Source organism: Homo sapiens, chromosome 16 (genome assembly GCF_000001405.40).
Source record: "Homo sapiens chromosome 16, GRCh38.p14 Primary Assembly".
In the NCBI taxonomy this organism is placed as follows: domain Eukaryota; kingdom Metazoa; phylum Chordata; class Mammalia; order Primates; family Hominidae; genus Homo; species Homo sapiens.
The window spans coordinates 8,630,295-8,642,928 of record NC_000016.10 but is presented as its reverse complement, the minus strand read 5'-3'; the positions used below and the strand labels follow the sequence as shown (position 1 = coordinate 8,642,928).

The window sequence follows — 12,634 nt, the reverse complement described above, 5'->3', positions numbered from 1 at the left end:
AGAGAACATTCAGGAAGAGAAGCTCTCAACAGTGTGTGCTGGCCAAGCGTTGAGGTTCCAGTACAGTCTGCATTCAAGTCCTTGTCTATCACTAACTAGCCGTGCCCTGGCCAAGGCCCCTGATGCTTCCCAGCCTTCCTCTCTTCATCAGTCAAGTGGGACAGCAGCGCCTGCACACAGGGCTAGGATGCAGATTCAGTGCAGTAACGTACACAAAGGATGAGCACAGACCTGGCACATAGTAGGTGCTCAATAAGTGGCACTGAGTAACAATCATAATGACACTGACAAGGACACAATTAGGAGGTGAGAGTTCCGCTGACACTCGGGACGTCAGCACGGTTCCCGTGGCGCAAAGCTCACCTCTTCTCCACCGACAGTATGGCTGTGCAGGCATTTTTCAATCTGTGGGCGAGTCGGGAGAGCGTTTTAAACACAGCATCAGTCAAGTCGTCGTCGTAAAACACTGTGGGAAGCAAAAAGGCCAGCATTAGAGGAAAACACGCAAATATTACAGAAATCGACTTTTCAGAGCAATCCGCACAGAGAGAATGCTTATCACCACGGAACAGCAGCAGCTTCCAGAATTAAAACTGCAGATGTGGTGGCATGTACCAGAAAGTCACTTCTAAAACTGAACTCCCGGGGGAAGTGAGGAGAGACTGCACTTGACTTCATGCTACAACAAAGGACGTGTACGGCGAAGGAGAAATTTTCTTACCTTCGGCTGCAAACAGGATGGTGGTGTGATCGTACAAGTCAGAAATTTCCTCTTGTGACCAACTGAAGGGGACCTTGGGATCTAAGAAAGAACAAAAGCACACTTTGTGCCCATTGCCTTCTCTCCTGGCCACCAACTCTCACTGGGACTGACCAAAAGGCACTTCAAGAGAAGAAACAGGGCTGGGGGTAGCTCGGTGCAGTGGGCACCACCAGGCAGACCAGACTCCCTGCTTCAGGCCCACTGCTGCCCGGGTGCAGAGTCATGGTGGAAGAGGTGCCTTTTCTGCTGAGTGTCTGCTCTAGCCAGTGAGCAGCGGGCGGATTTCAGCCTCACCCGCTGCCTTGGCCTGTGGCCCAGTGCAGGACATGATCTCCCCCTTCTGCCTGCTGGGTGGCCCAGGAAAACAGCCTCAGTTTTGCACTCACAGAAAGGGCACAGTACTACTTCCTCACAGGACTATTGGGAGGGCCGAAGGGCCTACGGTGCGCAAAGTGCTAGGCAGGTGACCAGTACTCAAGGAACGACTTTTCCCATCTGCCATCTGACAGGGAAAAAAAAAAAGACATCTTTATACAAAGAAAGAGCAAGCACCCAGGTCTGAAGTAGTCTGTGTAAGAAATATGGAAACTGTCCTACCCGGGGGGTTTCCTGGCACCACTGTTTGTTGGGAAATGGTCTGTGCCCCAGAGTCTGACAAACTCGGGTCTATGCCCCTACCCTGCTGTGTACCAGCTGTGCCCATGGGCAGTCTGCACTCACAATTCAGGGATTATCATGCTACCACACAGGGAAACCACAACACCTGGAGAAGAAAATGAACGTGAGGTGCCCAGCATGCAGCAGGCGCTCAGAGAATGACAGCTGGTGCTCATCGGCCAATGGAGAGAAGCTGCCATGCGCCGATGGGACTGTGGCAGCAGCTGGGACTACAGCTCTGTCAAAACCACAGAGCCAGGGGCACTGAGGTATTACAAAGGAATCACTGAATCATACTGGGGGACGTCCGAGAGAAACACACACCTGTGCAGAGGTCGTCCTTCAGCCAGTCCAGTTCTTTGACCCTAACTATACCACCTGTAAAAACAAACAAAAAGAGAACTTTCCAAACTCTAAACATCATCAGGAAAAAAAGATAAACTTTTACACTATATATGAAGATCCATCTATCCACCCACCCACCCTTGCTCTCACCCATCCACCTTCCTGCCCTTCCATCTTTACAGCCAGCCAGCCAGCCAGCCAGCCAGCCATCCACCCACCCATCCATCCATCCATCCATCCATCCATCCATCCATCCATCCATCCATCCATTCACCCACCCACCCACCTGCCCATCTTCCGGCCCTTCCTTCTATCCATCCATCCATCCATCCATCTACCCACCCACCCACCCACCTATCTTCCTTCCCTCCCTGCCTCCCTCCCATCCATCTTCTCATCCTTCCTTCTAGCCATCCATCGATCCATCCATCCATCCACCCACCCCCCCACCCATCTTCCTGCCCTTCCATCTATCCATCCATCCATCCACCCACCCATCTTCCTTCCCTCCCTCCCTCCCATCCACCCATCTTTCCATCCATCCATCCATCCATCCTCTCATCTACCCATCTATCCATCCTTCTGCCCTCCCACCCATCCACCCACCCATCCTTATTATCCTCCTTCCCTCCTCATCCATCATCCATTTTCTGTCCCTTCCCTCCATCCATCCGTCCATTCTTCCAGCATTTTTTGAGTGCTACGTGTCAGGGACGGTGCCAGACATAGGGAAAATAAAGATTTAAGAGTCATGCTCCCCATCCTTGCAGACCAGCTCCCCTAGGAGAGACTGGCAGGTTAACCAACAACGGCAAGACTGTGTGGCTGGGTGATGCCAGAAGGATGAGGCAAACGCACAGGAGGAGAGAGAGGAACTCATGTCAGACAGCGGATGTCAGGGAAGGCTTCCACCAGCATGCTCCCTCCATCCTCCCAGCTCTGCTGACTGCCTACTGTACCCTGAGCACTCAACAAACATTGTGACAGTGCAGAGCAAATGCAGACAGGGTACCTGCACCCACAGAGCTTGTAGTCCGGTGGGAATGGAAAACACCAATAACTAGTCACACGAGCAGATGGTAAAATGCAATCATGCAACGTGTGCCTGGAGTCTGTTGGGGGCTCTGGCCTCAAATCTGGAGGTCTGAAGCCCCGAGGGTGATGAGGACTTGCCGGGAGGAGGGACGGCAGAGCACTCAGGCAGAGGGAAGAGCAAGGGCAAAGGACTCGAGGGAATGTGATTTGAAAGACGGTGAGGTCGGCTGTTGGTGGTGGGGGGCGCTGCAGACAGACAGGGGCCAGATCCCCAAGAACATGAGACAAGCAACAGTAAACCACTGAAGGGCCTGAAGCCTGGGGGGCTGCTCGGAGGAGGCGTTAGGACATAACTGTCGTCACCCATCACATACACTCATCCCTGCAGGCCGTGCAGGGAGCAGAGAACCAGGCAGATGGAGGCGGAGGCCCATCTGCGCAGGGGGACTGGCCTGTGAGTGAGTCCTGGCCGTGCTGGATGCAGGGCTGGAAAGGAGACTGTCAGGAGGAGGCAAGGAGAGCAGGCCGGGGCTGGGCCAGGGAGGCCTGGGAATTCAAGGAGCTCAGACTTCACCCCACAGGTGATGACGCCCCTGGGAGGTTTTCAGCAGCAAGTGAAGTGGACTGGCTTGCATCTGAGAAAGGGCACTCTGGATGTTTCATGAGGACATCTTGGACGGGTCAACTAAGGAGCTGGGGAGACCAGCTCAGGGGCCGCCGCCAGTGTCCGGGAGAGAAAGAGCTGGAGTAGGATGACGCAGTGGATCTGGGAATGAGGAGGTGACCCAAGGAGCGTCCTCAATGCTCTGAAGCTCTGTGATGCCCAGACGACGCCTGCTCCCCTTACTCACCTGCTGCAAGGGACACAGACGGAGCCCTGCCTCCCAATGTCATGGTCTTGGGTGTCTGTCCTATCTGCTAAACAGAGAAACCTCCCTCCCTGGCAGAAGACCCCCTGGGCCTCACCTCCAGTGGCAGCCAGGTGGCTGTTGAGGGCAATGTTTCGCTGGCACATGGACAAGAGATCTGCACCGACATCTGGAATGACAGAGGGCAAGCCATAAAGTGCCAGCCACTACGACACTTTTATCTCCATGTTTTTTGCCTAGAGAGAGCTGTGATCAACAGCACAACTGCAGAAATTAGAGAAACGTTTCTCCTATGTGTCTTACTGCCAAAATTAAATACCCTCACCTTAAGGCTCTTTTCATTGGCTTGTTCCCTAAATAAGAGATTCTCCTCCTGATGGGGAGAGACAGTGCGCATTCCAGAGGGAAGGAGTGTGAGCTCCCAACATCATCCGAGCACATGCAACACGCGTGCACTTCCCTAGTTCATCGTTTTCATGTTTATGGCCACACAGGAGCTGGGATCATGAATCCCATTTCACGGATTAAGTGACTTGAGCAAAGTCATGCAGCTATTGAGAGCAAGAGTTGGGATTTGATCCAGGTTTTTCTAACTCCAAATTTAGGCTCGTTCTTTGACACCCTAGGAAAACTGACTGGACCAGTTTTCCGGTCAGAAGGATTTTTTCTTATGATTCGTCAGAACACAGAGCAGATTCAAACAGGCTGAGCCCACTCTCTTGAGCGCGATTCACTTTGCTGCCACCCAGATCTCCCTCCCAGCCGCCTGCTACTCTGACAAGTGGGATTTCTCATCATTTCAAGAACTAACTTGGGGTACAGTGAATCCTCACTGGCAGAAGCAGTGCTTTACCAAAAATAAACTTCTAATTAGAAGAATGTGCATGTAGAAAGTACAGGATGTCTTGTTAATGACATTTGCTTGGTCCACTGTGGGCGTGGACCCACAGTGCAATCTCCCTGGGACTAACATCTGCACCCCAGGGGTCACACAGAGCCATGTACGGGAGGAGCTCCCTGCTTGCAGAAGGGAGGGATCTACCCTATCTCCTAGGCCAAGAGAATACTGATGATATGTACCTGACAGCACACGATGGGCTTAGCAGTTTTTTGGAAACGGAGTTTCGCACTTGTTGACCAACTGAAGTACAGTGGTGCAACCTTGGCTCACTGCAACCTCCACTTCCCAGGTTCAAGCAATTCTCCTGCCTCAGCCTCCCAAGTAGCTGGGATTATAGGCACACGCCACCATGCCTGGCTAATTTTTTTTTTTTTTGTATTTTTAGTACAGATGGGGTTTCACCGTGTTGGCCAAGCTGCTCTCAAACTCCTGACCTCAGGTGATCCACCTGCCTCGGCCTCTCAAAGTGCTGGGGTTACATGCATTAGCCACCACGCCTGGCCAGGGTCAGCAGTTTTTAAACCTTTATGATAGTTTCTGTCAAAAGCTTTTAACCTATAAAACAGGTAAGAGAGGAGCAGCTCTGGCTGAGTGGGGTAGGAGCCCTGGTGCCCTGAGTGCGTTCTCCCCAGCATCCCTCGGCCAGCTTGTGGGAGCTCTGTTCCATGCAACACAATCTGAAATTCCACCACGTGACAAGCACACTGCCCTGTGGGCCAGCAGGTCCACATCAAGGGCCTCGGGTCTCATCAGCAGCTGTGGATGACCTTGGGCCAGCCTCAGTCTGCCCATTTGGACAACAGAGATAGGAACCCTGGGCTCTGCCCAGAGTCACTGTGAAGTTACAGCCAGGCACTGATGCATCTGAAAGGACTTTTCCAACTGGAACATGGCATCTAAATGCAAGCTTTCTTCCCCATGCTGGTAAATCTCTCTCAGGGATAAGACTTCTTTATAGTCTGCTATTAGGCACCAGGGACGAAGCAAAGCTCTTGGACGGCTTGACTCTGAGAAGAGCTCACTGATAATTTACATGACATTGTCAAGAAGCAGCCAATAGCGTGGCTGCACTGCAGACTCCTGACCAGTGGTTAACAGCATATTTGAAAACAGTGCCTCAGGGACTGGTGATCTCTAGCTTCTTCCTTCCTATCTCAGAAACAAAAGTCTGTGCCAGGTAACGTTCACTAGGAAGCAATGAGGTGTAAACCACATCAGCTGATACCTCTTTTTGTCCAGCAGATACTAAAGATTTAAAATATAACAACAAGGTTCACTTGACGAGATCACTACTCTCTTGTAAACAGGTATATTTGTTCTAAAGAAAGCACTCTGGCACGTTAGGAGTTTAGTTAACTTCACTGGCTGGTTTTCATCACTGTACTATGGTTGTGTGTGATGTCACCACTGGGGAGCCAGAGGAAGGGCATATGGCACTTGCTGGATTATTTTAACAACTCCTTTTGAGTCTGAAATTATTTCAAAATTAAATACTAAAAAAGAAATTAGTTGGTAATGTTCATCAAAAGCTTAAGAATAGTCTCACCCACTTCTAGGAACCTAGTGACACGTTATTAGACAACGATACACAAAGATGTTCATTGCAATGTAACTAACACCGCCCACTCCTAGGAACCTAGGTGACAGATTATTAGACAATATACAAAGATGTTCATCACAGTGTAACTGACAAATGCAAAAAAAAACAAAAACCAAAAAACCAAAACCCATAGGAATGGCCAAAATGCTCAGCAATAGGAGAAGGGTTACAAAGAAGATGAAATATTATCTGGTCATTAAAAGTCATATATAAAGTTTGTTTTTTTTTTTTTTTTTTTGAGACAGAGTCTCACTCTGTGGCCCAGACTGGAGTGCAGTGGTGCAATCTCAGCTCACTGCAACCTCTGCCTCCCAGGTTCAAGCCTCCCAAGTAGCTGGGATTACAGGTGCCCGCCGCTACCACATCTGGTTAATTCTTGTATTTTTAGTACAGACAGGGTTTCACCATGTTGGCCTGGCTGTTCTCAAACTCCTGACCTCAGGTGATCTGCCTGCCTCAGCCTCCCAAAGGGCTGGGATTACAGATGTCAGCCACCGCACCTGGCCTATATAATAATTTTTTAATGGCATGAGAAAATGCTCTTAAAATGTTCTCACTTATGAGTGGGAGCTAAACAACGGGTAAACATGGACATACTGAGTGGAAACACAGACACTGGGGATTCCAGAAGGTGACACGGTGGGAGGGGTGGGGGATTAAAGCTTCCCTATTGGGTACAATGTTCACTATTTGAGTGGAAGGTCCACTAAAAGCCCAGACGGATGTCATCACTGCAATATAGCTGCACATCAGAAACCCGCACTTGTACCCCCTAAATATATACATATTTAAAAAAGAAAATGCTCTTAAAAATGTTTTTCAACATTTTCAGCAGAATACAGTGCTGCTGCAGCTTGATTTCAGCTATCATTTGGAGGAGATTCTTACAACGTAAGCGCCCTGAGGGCAGTGCCTAGTCAGCTCCATTCACCGCAGGGCCTCCTACATCTAGAAATGAGTGGCACACGGGAGGTGACCCATAAGTTGCATATTGTTGATTCAATCTAGGGATTGTAAAATTATGAGTAATTTTTATGTACTGTTTTAAAAACCTCCTACAAAGAATGGGCAAGGCTTCTATACCCAGGAAAAAAATAATAAACTTGCTTTCAAAGGCTTCTAAAAGGGTATATTCCTCCTGTTTTTGGAGATATTTGCTCTTTCTCAGGAGTGGGGAGAGAGGTACCAGCAGGGGCGCTAGGCACCTCCTGAAGCTCAATGGCCTTATAGCCACTGGGTGACGCTGCTGCTGCTGAGTGGGTATTGCTGGGTCATTTTGATGTCACTGAGAATAAATGGAGAGTGGAGAGGGCCAGGGGACCAGGATGGCAAAATCAACAACAGCTAACATCCAATTTCCAGTGCCTCTGCCTCTTTTTTTATACAGTCAGTGCATGCTTTGTGAAGGTGACTACTTCCCTGCAGCCTGAGATGTCACCTCATTACCTGTACAATAAACGGTCCGTGCCATGGTGGCTGCGATGATGCTAGCGAGCCCCGTGCCGGCCCCGAGCTCCAGCGCTGTACATCCTCGGAAGAGGTCCTGTCGGAACAGGATGTAGTCTGCCAGGAGCAGGGCGCCCCGCCACACCTGGAGGGAAGAGGACAAGGAGCGACAAGCAGCGTGAGGCTCTGCAGGGACCCATCAGGGCCACAGGAAGCGGACAAGACCTACCCACCTGCTTGCCAACATCCTCCAGGGGCGTGGCCATGGTGTGCTCTGGATGGGACAGAAACCAAGAGAAATGCCCACTGTGAAATGGGGATGGACAGAAAACCACAAGACAGGACAGTGTGGCAACCGCCAGCACGGTCAGATGGGCGTCAGAGGTTGGAATGAGGCGTTCTAGAGAGCAGCAGAAACACAGGCTGTGCTACTGGTTAGGAGGCGACTTTTGAGCACCACTCAGAGGATGGGAGCTTTTTGGAATGGGGCTCACACTCTTTCATGTAACTGGGTATCTCTGCCCTACAGCCCAAGGCTAGGGAGGGTCACAATTAGGTTTTCACGCAATTTAATTGCACCCACATGCAGTGCACTACTTTTTTCATGACCAATAATTGCAAAGTTACAATCATAATATATTAATTTATATACTACTAATAATCACAATTCATTCAAAAGTATTTTCTTATACTGAGAAACATACTTAACTTCATTATTTTCTCATACTTAGAAATCTACATTAGAAGTTAACAAAAAAATAAGTTTAAATTTACATCCTTTTTAAAAACGTTGAAAAGTAGTATAAGTATTCTCAAGTGCAAAATATAATATATTTTGTATTTATAATATACCCTAATAGGATCAAATTCTGGTGGAGGGGGGAACACAATGGAAATATAAGATCAAGGAGAAAAGGAATGAAGCAAAGCATTTTTTGTTGTTAAGTAAGAACTTGCTTGTCTAAGAGCTCCCGAGGAGGGAAAATAACTTGCTCAAGTATTTTTAAGTGAGATGGTAACAGCTATCGCCAATCGCTCTGTCTGTCCCCGAACCAGGAAAGAAATCGACTGTGTAGGGTCCTCTTGGGCACCTGGGCCACTGTTCTCTGAGGGCTCCTCCTGGGAAAATCTGGCCAAAGATTTCAGCCCTATGGGCAGTTAGAATCTGATCTCTGAATAAAGTGACTAATGGGTTGTCCACCAGCATCTTGGCTAGATTTGACATGGTGGCTTACAAGGCACTTTTAATAAAACATGTTCCTTTCAGAAGGGCTTCAGATTGCTACGTCCTAACACGTAGTCACCTGGTTTGAAACTGGAACAGAAATACACCTGCCGAACCACCTGATGCAAAGTTCCTTCACTGAACCAACATTCACTAGACAGACACATTCTGTGAGCAAGCCCTGGGTGCCACTGAGATTCTACCTGATTGGCTCACATGTATATTACAGAGAAAGACACTGACTAAGGTTCAGCATTACTGTTTGTAAAGTTAATAGAAAAAAAAGCACCTTCTCTGCATGAGGCACTGGGCTAAATGCTTTCTCATTTAATCCTCAAAATCACCCAATGACAGCTTCGAGTATTATTGGATGAGGAAAAGGTGGCTGGGTGAGGTTAGCAGGCTGTGGTCACAGAGAGGGTGAGTGGCAGATGCGGGGTTCCAAGTCAGGTCATCTGCAGTTTTCTGTCTCTTTCTGTTTTGAGACAGGGTCTCACTCTGTCATCTACGCTGGAGTGTGGTGGCACGGCCAAGGCTCACTGCAGCCTCCACCTCCCAGGCTCAAGTGACCCTGCCACCTAAGCCTCTCGAGTAGCTGGGGCTACAGGTGCATGCCTCCATGCCAGGCTAAATTTTTTTAGTTTTGTAGTTTTTGTAGAGATAGGGTCTCAGCATGTTGCCAGGGCTGGTTTCAAACCCTTGGGCTCAAGTGATACACTGCTTTGGCCTCCCAAAGTGGGATCATAGGTGTGAGCCACCGTGCCCGGCCTTTTCTAGCTCTTCAGCCTGCTTGGGGAAGGGAGATGTAGAATCTGAACCATGCCAGGGACACGGTTTAAAAAGCCTGGGGCAGAGCCTCCCAGGATGAAAGGGACAGGGACTCGCTGGGCAGGCTGAAGGCTTGTGTGCTTGTGCGTGGAGGGGAAGGGGTGTCTGTGGTCTACAGACCCCAGGCCCTCTGTGTCAGCGTCCCTGCCCAGTTCCTCTTCCCCAGTCCCACCCATGCCATCTCCTGGGTGTGGCTCGTAGCCTCCTCTCCTCTCCTCTCCCTCCATTGGCCTGGGAAAGCTTCCTCCTTGCCATCTGCTCCCTAACCCCAGCTGTCCTAAGGGTTCCTGCTGCCAGGGGAACCTTCTCATAGTGATCTTGGTCCTATGTGATTGGTCACTTCCTTCCAGGGGTCTCGTGGACGTAAGTTCTGCCTCCCAGCTGTCCTCAATGGGTGGCTAGCTTCCCTTGAGGGAGAATGAGGACTCTGAGGTCAGAGACCTGTATGACAACCCAGTTTTGTCATTTCCTAGCTGGGTGACAAGTCACTTAACTTCTTGGAGACAGAGCTACAGTTTCCTCTTTTGCAAAATGCAGAAGTAGCCTCATCCCTCATTTCTAAGGCTGTAACAGTGTTTAACCAGACAGCGCTTCTGAGAGAGCACAGGCTCGGCAGACATCTGAGAACCATTGAGGTGGTCAAGGACCCCAGCCCTTGCACAGGTGGAGATCACTGAAGCCCAGAAGGGGGACATGACCAGCCCAGGGTCATAGTCTGAGAAAAAAACATCTAATTAGATCAAAATGTGTCGAGATGGCCGGGTAGTGGCTCACACCTATAATCCCAGCACTTTGGAAGGCTAAAGCAGGAGGATCGCCTGAAGCCAGGAGTTTGAGACCAGCCTGGGTAACGAAGTGCAAAGTGAGACCCATATTTTTCTAAAGCCAAATAGAAACAAAAGAGGATTTAAAATGAAGTCATTTGGGAGTCTGACCAAGAACTGATCTAAGATGTGCTTTCTGCTGATGCTGATAACACGAGAAAACACCAGGGCGAATTGATAAGGGAGAGAACAAGAGGCTCAGGGATGGATCAAAGGAAGAAGCGGATGCTGTGCAACTCCCTGGGGCCAGATGGAAAAAGCCAGAATGAATTCCCCAGGAAGCTGAGTGTGGCCGACCTTAAGGGCACTCTCCTTTCTTGTGTCTGACATCCTCGACTCCGGAGTGCAGAGATTCCGAGGTCTACCCGACCCCTGCCCCGTTTCAGGCACTTGCTAGTGTTCGAATGGGTAAATATGCTTCTTCATGACTCATCAGGATAGTCAGAGATCACAACAAATGCCCAGTATGTCAGCCCTGGGCCGGGCGCGGTCCAGGTGGCTGCATAGGGGTGAGGAAGAAGGATTCAGTCTAGGGGTGGAGGCCCAGGTGACTTAGGGACCTCCCTACCCAGGGCCATCTTGGGGCTCCCACTCCTGTGAAAAGTCAGAGTTTATATTTAAATAATCCCAAAGGTATCATGAGAACATAAAAGACCAGCCTGAGGAACTATCCCCATGAGAAACTCTAGGGCTAGCAATGGGATGAGACAGTGTTAGAATCTCACCTGTCCTTATCAGATTCTAGAATTACGTCTTATCTCATTTGCAAACTGGGTCTCTAGACCTGCAGGAACCTAGACTGTTCGTCAGCCAGTCTCCCTCCTCCCAGCTTGGGCCAGTCCCCAGGACAGAGGCTTACATTTACGGAACACTGAATCCGTGCCAGGCATTACGCTAAGAGCTTTGTATGTGCTGTCTCTCTGAATTCCTTACAACTGGAGGAGGTTGTACCCCTTGTACAGACAAGGAAACTGAACTCAGAGAGGCTAAGCGACTTGCCCGATTCTCCAGCAGGAAGGCACGGGACTCAGAATCTGACGGCCTGAGTTCCAGCCCTGCCTTTCTCGAGTTCTCTTGGGGTCTCACTTTATTTCTACAGTGGGGGAATTGAACATAATTTCTTTTGAATCCTGGGTCTGTGGATTCCTGGCAGATCCCTGGATAAACTTTTTAAGGTTTTGTCAATCCCTTGGAATAGTTAAGAAAACACCTATTTTTCTTTTTCTTTAGAAAAACCAGTTTCTCAAATGGGTCTATAACTTGAAAAAAATGGGTTGATTTACGGGTCAGAGGAAAAGGGTTGTGAGGCGAATGACGTCTGCTTACCATCAACTCTGCGCCAGGCCCTGCTCCTGGCGCTCACTGGGCATGTTTCAATAAATTATCACTAAAACCCAGGGACAGTGGTTCCCCTGATCACGTGGTTCTGACCATGTGGTTCTGAGTGGGTAAGACATTTGTCTCTGGTCACCTGGCTTGTGAAGATGGAGCTGGGCTCAAAATCCAGCCCTGCAGGATTAGATCAAGTTTTGCAGATGAAAGTGCTCTAGCCAGTTTGAAATAATCACGAATTACTACCTAGGTTCATGCATTAGCTACCATTCCACTCTCCTCCGTCAGGGCAGGTAGTGAGTGACTGACAGCTGAAAAAGTGAACTTCCAGGTATACAGACAAGGGGGCCTCACCGTGAGGTCACCGGAACAGGGCAGGAGGGGAAGCTGGTCACAGGCCAGCCTCTTCCCGAGGGACTTTGTTCTTAGCTCATACAATGGTAAATTCCCAGAACATTCACTACAGACACAACAATTCACTGTGGAGTAACTGACAGGTTTGCTCCCCAGCTTGGGGAGGCTAATAACAGTGAGGGCTCAGAGGGAAATGAGCCATCGTCGGCCCCCCTGAGAAGCAGGACTTTCCAAGCCTCTTTCGAAAGCTCTGCCCCCATGATGTGGAATGACAGCACAGGCTGTGGCGTCAGACAGACCTAGGTACAAGTCTCAGCTCTGCCACTGACTAGCTGTGTGACCCCAGCAAGTTCCTCAACCTCGCTGAGCCTCAGTCTCTTCCTCTGTGAAATGGGAATACTCATCCCTATCTGCAGAGGCCATGAGGGCAGAGGTCACCCATGGGATACATGGAA

At 49.5% G+C, this 12,634-nt stretch overlaps 1 protein-coding gene across 13 annotated transcripts in view, besides 1 other annotated feature; it reads right to left on the bottom strand.

The window, feature by feature from the left end:
- Positions 1-12,634, bottom strand: part of METTL22 (methyltransferase 22, Kin17 lysine) — a 45,577-nt gene that overhangs the window by 24,346 nt on the left and 8,597 nt on the right. For 11 of the 13 annotated variants that reach the window (XM_017023660.2, XM_047434610.1, XM_017023659.3 and 8 more), the window contains 6 exons: positions 7,850-7,890; positions 7,617-7,761; positions 3,767-3,838; positions 1,745-1,798; positions 722-802; positions 364-466 (listed from right to left, as the gene is read on the bottom strand). In XM_017023660.2, coding sequence (XP_016879149.1) covers positions 364-466; positions 722-802; positions 1,745-1,798; positions 3,767-3,838; positions 7,617-7,761; positions 7,850-7,890 — 496 coding nt within the window. Of the gene's footprint in view, positions 1-363; positions 467-721; positions 803-1,744; positions 1,799-3,252; positions 3,567-3,766; positions 3,839-7,616; positions 7,762-7,849; positions 7,891-12,634 lie in introns of those variants that run through there. The other 2 variants (NR_134608.2, XM_047434615.1) reach the window with 2 other exon arrangements.
- Positions 3,266-3,766: an enhancer, noted in NCBI's record as "H3K4me1 hESC enhancer chr16:8733020-8733520 (GRCh37/hg19 assembly coordinates)". NCBI's record gives its function as "activates a minimal SCP1, AML or CMV promoter by ChIP-STARR-seq in primed H9 embryonic stem cells {active_cell/tissue: H9 hESC(primed)}" and the evidence as "EXISTENCE:reporter gene assay evidence [ECO:0000049][PMID:30033119]".